Below are 20,153 nucleotides of genomic sequence, written 5' to 3'. Positions count from 1 at the left end.
TAACAACCTTTGATTTGGTAATTGCCTAGCACCCATAGCCAGGTTTTCTCAAAGTTAAATACATGAAAAGTAGATCATTATGATTTCATTGGCAGAATCTGACCACTATCTACATAGATTTATTTTATTTTATATCTTAAAAGAAAAATAATGTTGGTAGTTATTTTGTTTTAATGAGGAAATAACTCTTAGCCAAGATATGACATATGTCTTTAAATATTTAAGGGCTCTCACATGGAATAATTATTTTAGTTTTACTATTTGACTTCAAAGGGGATAACTAAAATCAATAGATGGAAGCAACAGGAAGCTAGATTTTAAGACAATACCAAAGAAAGGGAACATTTTATTAGTTAAACATACAAAAATGGAATGCAACTGATTCATGAAGTATTAAGTTCTTTATACATGGAGGTGCTCAAATAAACATTGGTTATGTAAGCATTTAACAGGGCTATATGTATTCATATGCATCTCTTTGGGCAAGATGTGTATTAACTGTTTGCTAAGATTTCCTCCCACTCTGACAATATTTCTGTACCCTTTCTCCAACTAGTGAAGGCTGAAGAACCAGTTTCTTATACTATGAACATGGCAAACACAATGGTTCTCTTGGTCATTCCTATGCTAGTTCACCCATGACCTGACCCAATATCAGAATGGAGTTGTCCTACTGCAGGTCAGCTGCAGTGAGTTAGAAAATCGTCTGGGATAGAATAAGCACTTAATACATGTTAGCCATTATTACTGTTGTGGTTTTTGTTGTTGTTGTTGTTGTTGTTTGCAGGGAAGAGCACATTTCCCAAGCTCTAACTCTTCATTTACTCAGCTGGATCTGCCAACACAACTGAAGATAAGACTGTCTTTCTATTTTGAAAATTGACACCTGAATGCAGAAATTAAATGGAGTGATGTAAAGAAAGAGTGATGGGTTATGTTAAAATGAAAAGTGCACTTTATGGTTTATGTGGTGTTTTTATATCCCTTACCTCATTTGTGATTTTTCCAGTAGCTTCAGGAGATAGGTCAGGAATTATCATTCTGTCTCTGACATGAGAAAATGGATAGCTAGAGTGGCTGTGTGGCATCCACAAAGTTACTTATACCCAATAGTGCGGGATTTTAAACACATCTGCCCTCAGATAATAAATCCAGGGCTTGATGTAAAATCTAACCATCTACATAGCATATACACAAACAACAATGGTGTGCCATCTCTAGTTGGTGTTGATGTCTTAATTCCTCAAAGTAGATGCAAAGCAGTCCTTGGTGGGTAATAACTTCAACCTTCTTGAGAACAAAGATAGTTTTGTTGATAAGTGAACACCATTTCACTCCTGGCTAGCGAGAATAAGACTACAGCTTTTGCTTTTTGTTATAAATAATGGTCCTAATCATACCTTGTGGGAACTACTACTTTAAAATGATAAGGCTGAGACTTGATACCTTATTCCAATTAAAAAATAGCCTGAGTTCAGAATAGCACACACATAAGTGATGATTACATTTTTTCCTTTCCCTTACTATGGAAGAATCCAGGGGTTATTTTAGTATCAGGAGAACCATATTTTTATAAATGGACTTGGAAGCTAAACATACTTTCTCTTCAGTTACCAACAAATTTTGACAAGTGACTAATGCATCAGGCTCCGTCCTATCAGTTTTGTTTGCTCTTTCTCTTGTTCTTTGTCAAGAGTCTTCAATAAATTGATTAGTATCAAAGGGAAGATCTTAAATCTTGGAGCTTTTCTTTTTGGAACCTTTTAATTCAGTTCCTGTCACACCTTCCTTTGATTTTTAAAAAAATCTCCCCTTAACTGTTCTGGGATCTCACTGCTGCTCCCACACGCCTAACACCCATCCCCTCCACATTCACCCAAAGGGAGACACTGGGGGAGGCAAGTGTATGGAATGTCTTTGCATTTAGATGCTGGAACTCTGACATCATCTCTTTTATTCATAAGTTTATTCAACACATATATTCTGAGCACCTACAATGAGCCAGACTCTGGATATGTAGAGATAAATTAAATCTACGATCCCTCTTCTTATGGAACATATAATTTAAAAATGAATACACACTTAAATAAATATATAATTAAGTGTATAATTAACAATTGGAAATGTGCTATAAATGAAAACTACAGGATGATACTAGAATAGGTCAAGTTTTTTATTTTGCCTTTTTTGTCCCAACATTTATGTAATGGAGTTCTTAACTCATTGCTGGTTCTTAATTAATTGCTGAGAAAATTAAATCACACAGTGTGAGTGAGTGCTTAGTATAGTGTCACACATATGCATTATCCTTAAACAGTATCATTATTGTTCATAAAAATCAGTTTCTCTTCTTCACCAAAGGATAGAGACTCTCTTTTTAGGCAAGTATTAATTTTATCAATGAGTATTCTTTGGTAGTTGTTCAACTTAATTATAATCATGATCCATTGTAGTCTTTAAAACTGATAAACATCATACATATTTCTTAATTATACTTCTCTGTTCCATTATCTCAAGGTTTTGTTTTCCTTCCAACACCCTCACTTCATGAAAATAATAATCAATAAATTAAGCTTCTTGGAATTTCCTCTCATTTCTAATTTCTGCCATAATGGATTTTATACACTAAGACTTCTATCACATATTCAAGCATAATTGTTTTTGCGGGCAATGCTTCCTGTAATATATGGGTATTGATGAGTTTTCAGGCATATTTTTCACTTGTCCTGACAATCTATCAGTTTGGCATTTAAAGAGCAGAGAGGATGCTTCAGATCTGCCAAGATCAATGACTCTCATTCTCATGACACAGTGAAATATATGGCAATTTCTTTCCTTTGTTTTCACTTAATTTCAGTTGTGTAAGTAGTATTTATTTTATTTTATAAAAGTAATTTAAGTCTTGATGATAAACTTTGCAGCAAAAATTTGATTTATAAGTAATTGGATTGAGATAAGAATGTCCTGATTATTCTATTCATTCAGTGAAGCATAGTAAGTAGGATCTGGGGATCTGAAGCAGAGTTCCTGGACCAGGCCAGGTCTCTACCGACTTGGGAAGTGGGCATGCAGCATAAGCTCTCTGAATGTCAGTATCCTCATGCAGAGGATGGAGATGAGAACAACACCCACCTCATAGCACTGTCATGAGAAATGTCAGTTACATGCCAAATGCTTACCCCAGCACTGGGGTCACTGAACATTCTATACTTATTAATGATTACTGTTATATGTTCCAAAAATGTTTATGAAACAACTATATTTGGCAAATCCTGTGCTAAGTGTAAGTATTCACTATGTTAAGCTTTTTGTTCAACTGCTATTTTTGCCTTGGGCCACTTGCTTTCTCCACCTCAGTTTTTTCCTACAAAAATGAAATAAAATAAAACTCAGCCATTCATAAGAAATGGTTACACTTGCTTGGAGAGGATTACGTATATTGCTCCTCTACAAAGCTCAAACGTTTTCAAGAAGTTACTTCATCTTCCTTCAAATTCGCACTTTTCTCCCTCTCATCACTATCAATCTTTCTTTGTGTGAGTGTGTTCCTTCCAAGTTTTTATTCCAGCACTAAAGTGTAGTGGAAAGAAATCAAGCTTTGAAGGTTGACAGACATAGGATTGAATTTAGAATTTTCCCTCACTGGTTGCATGGTCTTGAGCCACATGTCTCTGAGTCTGAGCCTTGCTCTCTCTAAAGGGGGAATAATGCCAGCTAATTGGTTATTTTGAGGATTAGTAATAATTGTAGGTGCTCAATTAATTTCCTATTTTAAATTAATTTGGCCAATTTGCTCTCTATACTCTCTAAATTTTCACTTAATTATATTCTGGCTTGTCAGTTTCCTAAAATCTTAATGTGTGTGTATTAGATTTGGCTTTAAGTTTTCGAAGAATGATTCTGTTATGGTATGCAAATTCTTTATGACTAAAATAATTTTGGTAAATTTGTACTATAATTTAGGTTGAGAAATTAGTTGCCCTTTATGAATTAAAAAATTAAAACCTGATTACATTTTTCTAAATTAATTTTGTTTTCAAAAGGGAAACAAAACTTTTAGGTCTGAGATTTATGTTTAAAAATGTAAGCAACCTAGGAAGAAAAAGACACTCATTTAACTTTATTCTCACTGAAGTATAAGCGTTAATGGGAGAAGGAAAATTAAAATGAGGGTAATGATTTTTCCAACTGCTCATGTAAAGGCAGGCTACCTCAAAGGTTTGGTTGTAGCTAACCATGGGCTATGCAGATTGCTGAGCAGTAAATCCTTGTTTACTTGTAATATAAATCTTATGTTATTATTCAAATTAAGTTCATTGAGTGCCTGCTATCTGCCAGGCATTGTGGAGACTCATGAGGATGAGTGAGGCATGTTTTATGTTCATAAATAACATATGCAAGAAAAGAACAGAAATTTTACCACACACAAAAAATCTTATAATGAAATATTTACATGATGTTCTAATTCAGTAAACTAGTTTTGACTATCACTATGTGTAAGAAACTTCTGTGTGTCACTGAAGCACCATCTTGATTTTTCTCGAGTTTATCATGTAAAATCATCTACTCATTTGGTTTCTTTCTTTATCTTCCCTGCTTGGAACTCAGAAGAAATGGGTGAAATAAAACATTTTTATAATGGGCTTTGTTCGGTATTTCAACCATGAAAATTTACCCTTTAAACATAAATTTATATTGGAATTGCATTAAAATATTATAGTTTTAAATGCTGATGTTAAAACATTTTCCCTAATAGCACTTATTTTGTGAAAGGCAGAGTATATAATCCTGGTATTTTACTATTTAGCTAGTTCCTAGGACTTCTTTATGACTATTCTCAACCTTAATAGCTACCATTTATTGAGCACTTATTGTATGTCAGATCCTGGAGTAACTGTTTCATATATATATTGCCTTATTTAAGTATCACTTCTACCTTATAAAGTAGATATTTTAATCTTAATTTTGCCCATGAGGATCCTGAAGCACAGCAAGCCTAAATAACTTCCTAAATCCACAAAGCTAGAAAATAGTTGAGTTGGCCTTGAACTCAGATATTTAACTTTAGATTTATCAGATGCTAAAATCCTTGGCTCTCAACTCTGTGTACAGTATTAGAATGCACTTACAAATTGTTCATAATGCTTAATTTGTAAAATCCATTTTTTTAAGATGATGGATATGCACTAAAATTCACTTTTGGTTTTACTGAGGGCGGTTTTCTTCAAAGGGGAAATGGAAACATTATAAGCATGGACATGAGTCTGATTTTGCATTTGAGTTCTCTCTTACCACTTAGAATTAGGGCAGTTGTGGATTTTTAGTTAAAGGCCCGATTTATGAGCATTGCTAGTGTGAGAAAGGCAATGAGAATCTTTGAAACTAAAAATGCTATGATCTAGGATGGGTGCACACACTAGTTTTAACATATTTGATCCTCTTTCTTCTCATTCTTCCCAAAAGACTACTTCATGCTTGAGTGACTAGCTAAATGTAAAATGGAGACTTCCTAGTTATCTCAGGAGGGTGCATTTTCATTCCAGATGTCCTGTTTGCATGCATTGTGTCCAGTGTTCATAGTTTATTTATAAGTTGGATTCATGGATTTGTGTTGGAAATGTCTTTGTTTGAAAAGGTATTTGCATAAAGAAACATTTTAACTCAATAAATGGAAAAATACTATTCTAATATGTACACAAAAATCTCAGGTCACAGAAATTTTTAAACTTGTATTTCTGATCCTATTTTTTGTGCATAATACTTTCAGTAATGATTATATTCACTTTTTCTGAAGATAGAATAGGAAGGGCAATGATGGGGTATTATTAGCATTTAAAGTCTAAAGTATATTTATTTCTATTATTGAATCAGAAAATTAGGTTAAAAAAATTACCAACTCATAAAATCAAAGTCCTATTGTACTCCACTTTCCATCATACTAAACCACTTACCTCACCTCAAAAGCAAAAGGAAGGCAAAATGCATCTTCCACTTTCCATTCATTAAGTCTTGAATATTGAGTGACCAGGGTCAGTGGCTAGATGAGTAGCAGAGCATTAATGTTGGACATCATCCTGCCCAATGCTTGTCAGATGACTTTGAATATTACCTAGTAAGTAAGAACATATATTTTACATTATAGTACAGCACACACACATGTACATACTAATTGTAATAAATGATTTCAAAAATATGTTTTACCTTTGCTATGTGTCATATTCTCTGACAATATCCCATCCCATTCCATTCCATTCCATTCCATTCCATTCCATTCCATTCCATTCCATTCCATTCCATTCTATTCTATTCTATTCTATTCTTCTATGCCCTATGTAGTCTATTCTATCTTTCTATGCCCTATGTAGTCATGCCATTTTATTCTTTCTTCTTTTAAGTTTGGTCTCGACTCATCATTAAATTGGGTTCATGACCCATTAATGGATCATGACCTGGAGTTTGAAAAACATTCTGTGTAAATAGGGGGTATTTGTAAGAGGTTAATAATTAAGACAATGACAGGATCACATGAGTTTGACCAAATGTTTAGTATGAACTGACTGAAGGAGGCAGTTCTTCAAGTGAGAAGTGATGAGGGACTGAACCAAGCTGTGATAATATAAATAATAATGCTAGTCAAAATGTACTGAACAATGTCTTTGAGAATGCATTATGCAAAACTTCATTTTGGGTATATTCTATGATTTAAGCCCTTTAATAACTGTGCAGATACAATAGGTACTATTTATTATCTTCATTTTACAGATGAAGGAGCAGAGGCTTTGAAAATACTTTTCCCGATTCTACAGAGACTTGAGACTGGCAAAGTCAGAATTAAAACCCAGATTTGCATGACTGTAGCCAAACTCTCATCCGTTACCTTCCTATCTTCTTTACCTCCCCCCGAATATTGTGGGTTTTATTATATAAGGATCAATACGTTTTGTATGGATCCATAACTTGCATCCAAAGAACATGTCTATAGTCTTTTCCAGATGTTTCAGAAGAGGCCATGGAATTTTCCTAAAAAGGAAGACATTTTAAATGTAGAACTGTGAATTTCTTAAGTTGTCAATTCCCTTGAAAATAACAGACCTCCTGCTTGTTTGTTTTTATGCCGTTCCTCTACCAAGGTGCTTGTTTTCATTTTGTTTGGAAATATAATGATGTTTCACCTAAACCTTTCAGAAATGGAAATATAATGATGTTTCACCTAAACCTTTCAGAAATAGATACTATTTCCTTTGCAAGGCTATACTTAATGTCATCAAGTGGAGTGACAGAGTGAAATGCAGAAGATAAAATAAATTGAACATGCACTACAGTTTATAAGTTTAGCTTAAGTTGAGTGTCAGCTCTCCTGGATAAGCTCTCAGCACACTCATTGACTTGGGTCATTTGTTCTCTGAATAGGCTGACATATCCTTACAAAAGGAGAAATGCTAGCAGCCTGGCTTTTCTCTTCCATTCTTCGTTGCAATACTCAGGAAAGGAAATCCAATTTCTGTATACCATGTTTTTAATGGCTCCCCTTGACACTGTATAAGGTACTTGTTGACTAAATGCCTAGATGATTTTCTAGAGGAGAGGGAAGTAAGATTGGGCATTTACCATCTTTGATGTAATGGTGTGCGTTAAATGTGTGCATGGTATGCATGGCAAATGTAAAAATATTTGGGAGAATGCTGAGAATGATCATTTTAAACATTTGTTTACTTTGTATGAAAATTTTTGGATAATCACATAAAGGAGAGTGTTTTCTCCATGCCACCCTTGGGCAAATACAGTTTTGATGCAACAATATTCGGTAGTATACTTTTAAAAATATTTTATCTAGCTGATATTAAGCAATCCCATCAAGGGATTCTTCATTTTGTAAAATACAATTTTCTTTTAAATATCTTGAGCAAAACTTTCGTATACAAAGAAGGCTGGCTTTAAAACAAGACATATCCAGAGCTAAATGTAGTTTCTGTCACCTATTAACATTGTAACCTTGTGTTTAAATGTTCCCAGATGAGGTGTCTTTATGTGGAACATAGGTCAATAATACTCAAACGTGATAGTATTAGTATCAAAGGAGATAGATAAGGCCTAAAAGAGTCTCTGGCTCAAGGTCATGGCTCAGTAAAGATTCATTCCTTATTCTTTCCAAACATGAGAACGCATACACTGAGAACCCTGATACTGTTTAAGTAGTCTAGATAAAATTCATAGATATGGCTAGTAAAATTCAGTGGTATATAGACATTACCCCTTAACTACACAAGTAAATATGTTTTATTTCAACACATATTTGGGCACCTATATTACAACTGGAAATTATATATTTAGCTGTAGTTAAGGTCCATTGATAATTCTCGTTGTAATGTTCAATGAATCTCCCTACTTACCTAAGCGTTCTGTGAAAAACTGAGTTTATTGGAAAGCATCCAAATCAGCTAAAAAACTACTCTTCAAAAGGAATTTTTACTGTGTTATATATTCTTGTTCTGCTACATGAGTCAGGATAAAGGGAAACATTTAGTTAAATAAAGTTTTTATCTCTATGCTAAAAGGCAATTTATGGAGAATAAAACCTAGAATTACATTGTGTTCAACTGTACTGAATTATCCATTTACTCTGAGAACATGGAGAGTATCAGTAGTTTATTCTCAGTAGAGTACAAGGGTTTTCAGCAATAAAAAGCAAGGTGTTTGAGGGTAGTTGCTCCCAGTGGGTAAATGCCTCCAGAATTCTGAATGTAGAGTTATGATGAGAAACAATCCATGGGAGGATAAACAAATGCATGAATGGATATATAGAATTTAATTGAAACAGCAATTAATAGATTACATAGCAAGCAGTTTACAAATAAGATATAAATAAATAAGATTAAATCAATTTTTAACATGGCACAAGGGAATCTAATTAGAAGGAAGATATGCAAAGGATATAAATAATATTCTTAATATATTCTTCTGGGATGAAAGAAATTTAATAAATCAACTTTTCCCCACAGTAGTTTTATTTATTTTGGATGAACTCGTAGGCTCATCTTGTACTTGTGTTCTATTCAAACAGTACTGTGGCTTTAAGTGTGTTTTTCTGCATTATCAGAAAATGCAAAATACTGTGCTCTGGCTTAGTGCTGATGTGACCTTGGTTTATGTTATACCTACGGGAACTGTCATACAGCAGAGCAGTGGGTTTTTATGCTTCTTGGTTTTCACCGCATAAAAGATGCTTTATATGAAGCAGTCTTAAATCAGTTGATCTCTTAGAATCTCCAATGTCAGGTTCTTTAAGTTGGAGACAAGAAACAAACCACGAAAAAAATTTAGGCTTCTATGAGCAGAAACAAATGTTGAGTAGTAGCGTTTATTTATTGACCGAGTCTGTCATTCTACTGATATTTGTTAAGCACCTGCAGCATGCAAAACAATTGGTCTCTAAAATCCGTATGCAAGACAAATGTACTTTAAGAAGGTGCAATATCACAGAGAAGGACTGCCCCTGAGTTAGTCCAGTGTGGGATGTATGACCTTCATGCTCAGAAAAGGTCACTGTTTCTTTAACTGAGTACAAGACGAAGTCATTTGCTTGCCCTCAGTTGCCAAGAGGTAGAAGAAACACATGTGATTAAATACTAGCATTATACTCGAACTGGAAGAAACTCACATTCTATGAGGTCCCAGGGGTTGAGATGGCACGGATGAGCAGATTTGCTTTATTCTAATGCAGTCTTGGTCATTCATCCACTGAGTAGAAGGGTGGATGCCATATTTAAATTATTTAAAATTTCTTACTTAGTCTCTCTTATTTTCTCTCTCCTGCTCCGTTTTTCTTTTTCTCCTTTGTTAATGCCCATGTTTTGTCATATGTCTGGAAACAAGCAAATATTTACCTGAGCATATAAAAACTGGGCTTTAGAAGCAGACAGACCTTAGGTAGAATTCAGGAGAAATTCACATTTAGCTAGCATGAACTCTTTTTTTTTTTTTTTTTTTTTTTTTTGAGACGGAGTCTCGCTCTGTCACCCAGGTTGGAGTGCAGTGGCGCAATCTCGGCTCACTGCAACGTCCGCCTCCCGGGTTCAGGCAATTCTCTGCCTCAGCCTCCTAAGTAGCTGGGATTACAGGTGCCCGCTACCACGCCCGGCTAATTTTTGTATCTTTAGTAGAGACAGGGTTTCACCATGTTGGCAAGGCTGGTCTTGAATGCCTGACTTCGTGATCCACCCACCTCGTTCTCCCAAACTGCTGGGATTACAGGCGTGAGCCACCGCGCCCGGCCTGAACTCTTAATAATCTACACATTAGCCAGAGTGAACAAATAGTTTAGTTTTTCTTGCTTCTAAAATGTGGATAACAATGTTAAACTTGTGAGTTTTCTAAAACAATTCTCCAGAATATATGTAAGAATAGTAAAGTGGCTGGCATAAAATGAATACTAGTAAATGATGGAGAGCAGGATGTAGCACATGATGACAGAAGCAGAGACAAGCAAAAGAGAAAATACCAAATGATGACACCAGGAATGAAAGGTATCTTCTGGACAGAATTTCCAAATAGAGGAAGGAGCTAACTAGGTGGTCAAGGCAAAGAATGCCAGCTGCAGCAGAGGAAGCAGAGTGTGCAACGGCATAGAGGCACCAAAGAATATACTGCATTTATGGAATTGCAGTTTTTTGTTTGTTTGTTTGTTTGTTTGTTTTTAAGATGGAGTTTCGCTCTTGTTATTCCGGCTGGAATGCAATGGCGCGATCTCGGCTCACTGTAACCTCCGCCTCCTGGGTTCAAGCGATTCTCCTACCTCAGCCTCCCAAGTAGCTGGGATTACAGGTGCCTGCCACAATGCCTGCCTAATTTTTTGTACTTTTAGTAGAGAGAGAGTTTTGCTATATTGGCCAGGCTGGTCTCGAACACCTGACCTCAGGTGGTCTGCCCACCTCAGCCTCCAAAAGTGCTGGGATTACAGGGGTGAGCCACAGTGCGCAGCTGGAATTGCAGTTCTAAAAGTAATAGAGGGCAGAAGAGTTGTGCAAGGCCAGATCATGAGGTGTCTTGCAATCTGCAGCCTCTTTAGAAATTGGCACAGAGATTACTATTGCTGTCCAGTTAGAGTCAAGGGTTTTTCAGACAGGGGAAACTCCTTAGGCTGAAGTCACAGTGTAGCATCCAGGATAGCATATTCAAGCCCAAGTAAATTTCTCTTAGCTAAATAGATTTGGTAGGTTTAATACTATATATGACTGGAAGATAAGTTGGTATTCATTTATGGGGTGGTATTTATTAAACTAAAAAAGAATAGGTAAAACCACACAGGGTATGCACCTATTTAATTTTTTTATGAAGTTAATCATAAAACTAATGTTTTAGGAAGAAAAGATATGCTCAATAAATAATAAATTCTATTACTATTATGAGTGTCATTATATGATAATGGAGCAATCACAAAGTAAAAATAAAATAGAATAGTATTTTAATTAACCTAATTAAGTCTACAGTGGTTAAAACCTTAAGAAGTTTCAGTTGAATGTACTGTTTGAAGAAATTAGCATATTAATATAAGATAATTATTATCATAGCACTTCAAATGTTATGAGGTCAGGGTTAAGAGCAAAAGTTATTATGAATATTAAAGAAAGTAATAAATCAATAAAAGGAATAATTTAAATTACTTTGAAGTCTTCTAAACATTTAGCAATTTGGATAAATGAGTAATCGGGGACTTATACCTCACATCCAAAATATATTTTCATAAACAAGTTTGGACAGCATATCAAATAATTCTGAGTGCACTCAGCAATTTTAGGGCATTGATTTTTAGTCAGTATGCAAGCGAGGTCTAATGTTTCTACTTTGGTATCCAAAATTTTCAAAGAAAATTTAGATTTTTTTTCAGTAACAGGATATTTAAATGTGTTTTTCGGCATTAGCAGAAAATGCAAAATACTGTGCTCTGGCTTAGTGCCGACGTGACCTTGGTTTATGTTATACCTACGGGAACTGTCATATAGCAGAGCAGTGGGCTTTTATGCTTCTTGGTTTTCACCCCATAAAAGATGCTTTATGTGAAGCAGTCTTAAATCAGTTGATTTCTTAGAATCTCCAATGTCAGGGTTTTTAAGTTGGAGACAAGAAACAAACCACTAAAAAATTTAGGCTTCTATGGGCAGAAACAAATGTTGAGTAGCAGCATTTACTTATTGACTCAGTCTGTCATTCTACCGATATTTGCTAAGCCTCACACAATAGGCCAACTCCTGTGAGCAACAAACTAAAAAAATTTTCAGTTGTTTAACCAAATAGTTTATTTTCTTGCTCACCTGTGAGCCCTAAGAAGTATACGCAAATGAATGGCTCTCTTCCAAGTGATGACTTAGGGGACCAAGCTCCTTCCATCTGATGACTCTATCATCTTTAATATGGGATTTTCAAGACCATTCTAAGGGTTGTCTGCATTGGCAGATCATATGCAGATTTGTATGTGACTGTTGGAAGCTGACATTTAATTATAATTTTCTTTTGAAATAATATAATTTGTGATACTTTTCATACTATCAAAGCAGCATCTGTCTACCTATTCCATAATTAACTATTGAAATAAATTTGGTTTGTTATAAACTATCACACGAAGATTGCAATATAAAATGTGATTTAAATATTTGAGAATGAGTCTCAGTATAGTACAATAAATTCAGAGATGAATGTAGAATCTTGTGAAGATGACAAATTATGCAGATAACAGAAAACGTGTATCTAAATAACTACTAAGAAGTTAGCTAAAGAAAGAAAAGGAAGAGGAGGAAGAGAAAAGAGGAAGAAGGGGAGGGGAAGGAAAAGATAAGGAGAAGGAGAAAAATAGGAAGTATCAGCAGTAAGGTATTGGACATTATTCTCATTCAATAGCCCAGTTGTTCCTTAGGTATAAGAAATAATAGGCAGAAACATTTTCCTTCTTATGTTCCTGAAAATCCAACCCCTAATGTAGGAACTATTGAACTCAATTCAAAATCAAAGTGATGTGCCCTAAACTTTCCTATCTCAAAACCTCCAAATCATCTTGGACTCTTGATTCAAGTGTTCTGTCTAGCCTCTGATGTACTTACTTCTACTTATTTCAAGTGACTCTTAGTTTAAACTCCATGGCTACCCAGCTGTCACCTTTGTGACTGACCTCCCTGAAGTCAGTTTGAGGGCAAGATCACCTCCTCTCCCACAGAGGCTGGAGTCAGCATAAGTGTTTACAAGTTATGCAGTATTGTACAAAGGATCAGTGAGATTCTTCTAGAAAATATGTTGACAAACTTTTAAAAACAGTCATATATAATGACATACACATTACATAATTCCATTAGTTCATGGATATTTTTACTAAATGCAAAGCTACATAACAAGTGAGAGTGAATTGGTATAAAATAGATTTGGAGAAAGTTGTCAGGATAATAATAGTACAGATAGTTCTCAGATTCTCAAAAATGGTAAAAATTAAAGACAGAAATACTGGGAATGTTGAAATAAGGCAAACTTGAGAACAAGAGTAGTAGAGAGACTAGGCATAAGACATTATTTTGTTGTCAAGATACTTTCTTTCTGATTTCACTCTGAAATCTAGTTTTAGCTTCTGTTAGTCTTGGTTCATATTATCCAGCTCTTCAAGTGTACACTCTGCCTTACACTCTCAATTTGAGGGTTCACTATTGACTACTAAAGACTATAGTCTCCTTCAAATCTGGATCCTTCTTTAATTTTTCACCTTCTGCAATGATTTTAGAATTTTATTTTATTTATCACCCCATTTAAATAAAAGGCTGCCGAACATCTCCTGTAAGTATATAAGGACTCCGTTTCTTCAAAAGAGGGGAATCTTTTTCTATTCAAATAGCTTGGAAACATTGATTAAACCTGCCATATATTAAGGCCACAAAAACCTCAATAAATTATTTAAATATATAAATATAGAACACTCTCTTTGATCTCTATACAAGAAAGCTGGAAATTAAAAACAAACTGAAAAGAAAAACGCCAGTTTCACCTGGAGATTTTGAAAACTTGCTCAAAGGCCCATAGGTCAAAATGAAAATGAAAATGAAATTGTAAATTTCAGGTACACGATAAACTTACAGAAAACAAATATTAATTTTTTTATTAATCTAAGACACCACCATTTGTAAGATGCATGGTTCTCTTGTGTTCATTAACAAGAAAATTTCTGCCCATAAACCATGACTCAACTCTGTTACAGTCGTTAGAATTTTTCTCCTACTGTGACACTAAGTGCATTAGTATTGCAGCCTGAGTTGGGAGAGTGCTCCACTATTATCTCCCAAATTCTCTTCCAAGCCGTTGACACCCATTTTGAAATTTTTAAAGGTAGATCTTCTTGGAAAGTGTTCATAGAATATTTTAGATCAACAAAATAAAGGTATTTGAAACAGTAACTAAACTTAGCTTTTCAGCATCAATAAGGCACATAAGCCAACAGGAACAATGTCCCAGTCTATCCAGTTTCCAACATTAGTTATCAGCTATGTCAGGACTGTAACCTGGCTGATAATCATTGGAAATTGATCAAAATGGAGCGTAGTGTACTAACATGCATATCATTCACCCCTAGATGAAGATATCTCTTAATTCTAAAATATGTCATAAGTTGAAATGACCTTAAAAAGTTGTGTCTCAGAATAGATAAAATATAAATTTAGGTACTAGAGAACACAGCTAAGGTATTGCTCAGAGGAAAATTACTGGCCTTACATAGATGAATTAATAAAATGGGAAAATTTAAGTGAATTAAGCAATTAGGTTCAAACTGTTAGAAAAGAAAAAAAATAAATCCCAAGGAACGAGAACAGAATTAATAAGGGTAAAACTAGAAATCAATGATTTAGAAATCTGAGAAACAATAGAACACAAATACAAGATAAATAAAGAAATATCTAAGGTGCTTAAGAGAGAAAAATGGGGAGCATGAAAACAGAAAATTAGGGAGAAACAGCCACTGATAAAAGAGAAACTCAGTTTCCCTCAGTCATAAAGTGGGGATAATAAATTCATGCTGATTCATGTAGTTTTAGTGGATTAGAGTTCATACATTTAAAGTTCCTGGTACTGTGCCTGACATATTGGAGATACTCACTAAGGTCAAGTATGAGTATCACTACCTCTTCCATTATTGTTGCTGCTACTAATGCTACTACCGCTAATGCTATGACCATTCCCACTGTTTACCACTAAACAGTGGTGATAATAATAACATGCCTGGGATGATTCTGAATAGCTGAGATGGACACTAATACCTAAGTCAAGGAAAGTTTGCTGAAAAGATGAAGACCAAACTGAATCTTGTAGTACAACTAAGAGATAGGGAAAAGATCATGAGAGAACAGAATCCACAAAGGCAAGAAAAGAAGGATGAGACCAGGTGGAATGGCTCACGCCTATAATCCCAGCACTTTGGGAGCCAGAGGCCAGTGGATCACCTGAGGTCAGGAGTTAAAGAGCAGTCTGGCCAACATGGAGAAACCCCATCTTCACTAAAAATACAAAAATTAGCTGGGTGTGGTGGCACATGCCTGTAATCCCAGATACTTGGGGGAGCTGAGGCACAAGAATCACTTGAACTCAGGAGGCAGAGGTTGCAGTGAGCTGAGGTCATGCCATAGCACTCCAGCCTGGGTGGCAAAGCAAGTCTCAAAAAAAAAAAAAAAAGATGAGAGATCTTTGTGGATCCATGCATTTTTTTCAGCAATGTTGCTATATAAAATGTGCATGGAATGGTGTTTAGAAGGAAGATGATGAGAAATTAAGTGACTGCATGAATTAGGATGCATATATTAATACAGTAAGGTCCCTTTTGACCAAATTGGGAGTTTTGTGGTTTTTATTGGCTTATCTACATGATATCCTTTATAAGAGCTTAAAAGGACACATCCTGGGTTTGTGTTTTAAATTTATTTTACCCTAGAATTTGAACACGTTACAGGAAGAATACAGGAGGCCATCATAAACTCTTCAGGCTGAACAAACTAAGTTTCCATGATGTAAAATAACAAAAATAAGCAACACATTTTGTTAAAATAGGAGATTCAAAACTGGTCCTATCACATCACAGAGCCAAAACACATACTTGCCTGACTATTTGACAAGTAGCAGTCTCTTTTAGAAATAGATGTACTTCTGTGTACAGATATGTACTTATATATGATCTGGCTATTTCAAATGGAATCCCCAGCAATCAGGATGTGAAGTAGAGCATTTGGTTATAGTAATTTCTAAGTTAGGCAGTTCTAAGTTTAAATTCTATTTTTGCATCTTATTTGCTAGGTCTATAATATATATATCTAAAATACCTATACTTTTGGAAAGTTACTTTACATCTCTAAGAATCTGTTTCTTCAATGAAATAGTGTGCCATACATATCCTATGAGTTTGATTAGATAATGGGGTATTAATGTAAGCAAAATACTCAGCAAAGTGCTTGATAGATGTTATTAACATTGTTATGATCATTTACCTTTTTCTAAATCATTTTGCATTTGTGTGGACACTCCCCATTAAATCTTAAACATTTATCAGAGTTTGCAAGCTCAGGATTTTCTGTTAGTACTGTCACATCTCATGACCCCTGGGCACCTTCCTCCTCTGAGCAATAAGTGTCTCTTCTGCAAGCCAGATGAGTTTTCATTTAACTTGCCTGCTCATCTTCACCTTCCTCTTCCTGCTTTCTGCAGTGAAACTGATGGATATGTGCTTCTGCTGATCAGCTCAGTTAACACTTGCATAATACCTTGGCAAGAAAATGCTAGTTCACCTGCTGCTTATTTATGTGGAGGTTTTGTCTATTGCATTTTTGTGTGTAAGATAAGGAGCCAAACTCTTAAGACTTAGGAAACAGAGCAACTCCAGCCTACAGATTTGCATTTCTGCATTTAACTATCCTTTCTTATAAACAGCTAGGATCAGGTCTGCATGGATGTGCAGGCACATCATTATTTTGCACATATGCTATAACAGCTGGGGCTGTTCTCACCCAGATGCGCCCTCTGTGAACTTCTTTGTGTCCACTCCTGGTAGACTCTTCTGTTTATGGAATTTATATTACCATAATTCTCATCACCATTGCTCAGCCTGTCATCTCAGAGGACTGTGACAAACCTAAAGAAGTGAGAAGGCGGAGAAGTAACACTCAGAGGGGATTATAAATGAACTGAACGAAGAACTTAGAGAAATGGCTCAAGCTGCCAGGTGGCACTTGAGTCTTGAGGTGACCTCATGGATGACAATATTTTGAAAGGAGATGTGAGTCTAGATGTCCTTTTCTCAAACGGAGAAGCATGTAATGCTTAAGAGAAAGAAATCTAGGGTCAGACTTGAGTTTGAATCCAGGTTCAACCACGTCGAACCAATATGACTTTGACCAAAAGATGTACTCTATTTGATCTTCAGTTACTTCCCATATAAAATAGGGAAAATAACAGCTGCTGTATAGTGTTGTTTGGAGGGTTCGATGTGATATAGGAAAGTGCTCAATTTCTGCTATATATTGAGTACTGGATAAACATTGTAATTATGATAATGATGACAATGATAATGATGAAAATGATAAAATAATAACTTTGACTATTAGGAAAAGTGAATCTATTCTATAAACCCTCTGAATTAATGTTCCTAATCCATTGACATGCTTCAGACTCATTTTCAAAAGCCACTGATATTAAACATGATTTATTGAGTTATATATCCTTCTCCCATATGGATGCCACAAGTTATCCAGAATGCAGTTCTAGGCTCCTGTCCTCCCTTTTTAGACTTATTTTCTACTTCTTCCTATATTACATGCTTGATGCTAAGGTTAAATTAAATAGTCTACAAACAGCTATTGTATATTTTGTTCACGTTAACATTTCTATCACCTAGACCCATTTCTGACCTACATCAGGGAATCACCATTATTGACCAAACTGTCCTTTTCCATTCCAGACTCTTTACCAATGCTCAGGGCCTTCAGGAAACGGGAAATACCTCCTTTTCACCCTGTTTCTTTACATTAAAACCTCTACATCTCTGCCTCTTTTACCTGTTGGCTATTAGTTCCAAGTCCTACCGCTATCCACCACCTACTCTTTTCTGAGAAGTTAGGATTAAGGTTCCAAAAATTACATTTTCCAGACTCCCATTTTCAGCCATCTCTGGGTAGATTTTGCCAGTAGGAAATGTGGACAGGAGGTGGAAGTTGGAAGAAGGATTCTTTTCTGACTTCCAGGTTGGGTCTCCCTCTCCATTTGAGGCAGACAACGATGGCTTCAGCCTCCAACTTCCTTGACACTTCTAGCCCTGATGTCACTTTACCTGAGTGGGGGGAGTACCACATAGCCCACCCCCATTCTCCCAACACACAGCAGAGCCCCTCTGAGATGTGTAAAAAAACAGCCAGGCCCCCTCAGTGGTCTAGTATGTGTGAAACAATGGCTTTTTTTCCCTAAGAGGTCCAACTACCAACTGCAGGGAGCTTCTCCTTTCAGATTCGTTCATTCTTTCTTTTTTTCTCCCCTGCTGGCCTGAAGAATGGTAGCAACTTCCTAAAGCTGTTGAGCTCTGGGTTACATCAACATCCCCAGAAGCTTCAGTCTTTAATCACCCGAGTAACCAATGGTCAGTATTAAATAGACTTTGTCTAAAACACCAGACTCTGATTAATAGAACATCCTTCAAGTTTCTTCTCAAATGCCACCTCCTTTTCTGATCCCACAATGTATTCTTTTTCTCTTTTATCCTCTCATAGTGCTTATTTTTATATCATTTTTGAATTTTACCTCCTTTGCTATGTGAGGAAGCCCTTTCTCAGTTTTTCTAAAATGTATCCCAAGAATGTCATGAATCCTCAAATTCATAATATTCTACTATCAAATTACTAAAGTTCTGTACTTTCTTTATAATTCTTTCACTAGCACTCATGGTAAGCAGTTTTAGAACAGGGCTGTTTCCTCCTCAAGAAGCAAAGTTTTTCTATTATTTTCTTTCAAGTGTTATTATGTTGAAATATTCAACAAAATCTGGGTTTACTTGTCAATCAAGCTTTTTTTTTTTTTTTTTTTTTTTTTTTTTTTAGAATATCAGTGTCCTAGTGCATGGGACTTAAACATGTCTCAACAAACTTGTAGACTCCATTAAAGCTTGTCTTAGTTTGTTAGAGCAGCCTGAACAAAGTATTGCTAATTGAGTGGGTGGCTTAAACAATAGGAATATATTGTCTCACAGGTTTGGAGGCTCAAAATCTGAGATCAAGGCATCAGCAGGGTTGATTCGCTCTGAATGCGGTGAGAGTGATCTTACCCATGCCTCTTCCCTAGTATCTGGTGGTTTATTGACCATTTTTGACATTCCTTGCCATGAAGAAGAAGCATTACCCAGAGTTTTTCCTTCATCTTCACTGTATTAGTCAGTGTTCTCTAAAGGGACACAACTAACAGGATAGATGAATATATGAAGAGGATTTTATTAGAATTGACTCACACAGTCACAAGGTGAAGTGCCACAAAAGGCTGTCTGCAAGCTGAGGAGCCAGGAAGCCAGTCCGAATCCCAACAACTCAAAAGTTGGGAAGCCCATAGTGCAGTCTTCAGTCTGTGGCCAAAGGCCACAGAGAGCCCCTGGCAAAGCACTGGGGTAAGTCCAAGAGTCCAACAGCTGAAGAACTTAGAGTCTGATGTTTGAACTTAGGAAGCATCCAGCACAGGAGAAAGATGGTGGCTGGAAGACTCAGCAAGTCTGCTCTTTCCATGCCTGCTTTTATGCTGGCAGCTGATTAGATGGTGCCCACCCAGATTGAGGGTGGGTCTGCATCTCCCAGCCCACTGACTCAAATGTGAATCTCCTCTGGCAACACCCTTACAGATACACACAGGAACAATACTGTGCATCCTTCAATTCAATCAAGTTGACACTCAATATCAACCATCAGGTTCACACAGCCTTGTCCCTGTGTATATGTCTATGTCCAAATATCTCCTTTTCATAAGGACATCAGTCATATTGGTTTAGGGGCCCACTTTACTCCACTATGACCTCATCATAACTAGAAATTGCTTTTGCAATGATCTTATTTTCAAATAAGGTGACATTCTGAGGTGGTAGGGATTAGAAACTCAACACATGAATTTGGGGTCCA

General features: G+C 35.9%; 1 protein-coding gene and 1 long non-coding RNA gene across 6 annotated transcripts in view, besides 1 other annotated feature; one reads left to right on the top strand and one right to left on the bottom strand.

The window, feature by feature from the left end:
* LOC105374516 (uncharacterized) overlaps positions 1–6,231 on the bottom strand; it is a 31,627-nt gene extending 25,396 nt beyond the window's left edge. The window contains exons 1-2 of the long non-coding RNA NR_134233.1: positions 6,202–6,231; positions 5,952–6,109 (exon numbers count right to left, since the gene is read on the bottom strand). This is a non-coding gene — a long non-coding RNA (uncharacterized LOC105374516). The remainder of the gene's footprint in view (positions 1–5,951; positions 6,110–6,201) is intronic.
* KCNIP4 (potassium voltage-gated channel interacting protein 4) overlaps positions 1–20,153 on the top strand; it is a 1,220,167-nt gene that overhangs the window by 360,446 nt on the left and 839,568 nt on the right. The window lies entirely within an intron of this gene.
* Positions 14,176–14,345: an enhancer, noted in NCBI's record as "experimental_77794 CRE fragment used in MPRA reporter constructs". NCBI's record gives its function as "activates a minimal promoter by MPRAs in K562 erythroleukemia cells, with activity observed for the introgressed 4:21575690 variant allele {active_cell/tissue: K562}" and the evidence as "EXISTENCE:reporter gene assay evidence [ECO:0000049][PMID:34662402]".

The sequence above is a fragment of the Homo sapiens genome, chromosome 4 (assembly GCF_000001405.40).
Source record: "Homo sapiens chromosome 4, GRCh38.p14 Primary Assembly".
Classification (NCBI taxonomy): domain Eukaryota; kingdom Metazoa; phylum Chordata; class Mammalia; order Primates; family Hominidae; genus Homo; species Homo sapiens.
Note: the sequence above shows the minus strand (reverse complement) of the source record. Positions and strands in the feature narration are given on the sequence as shown.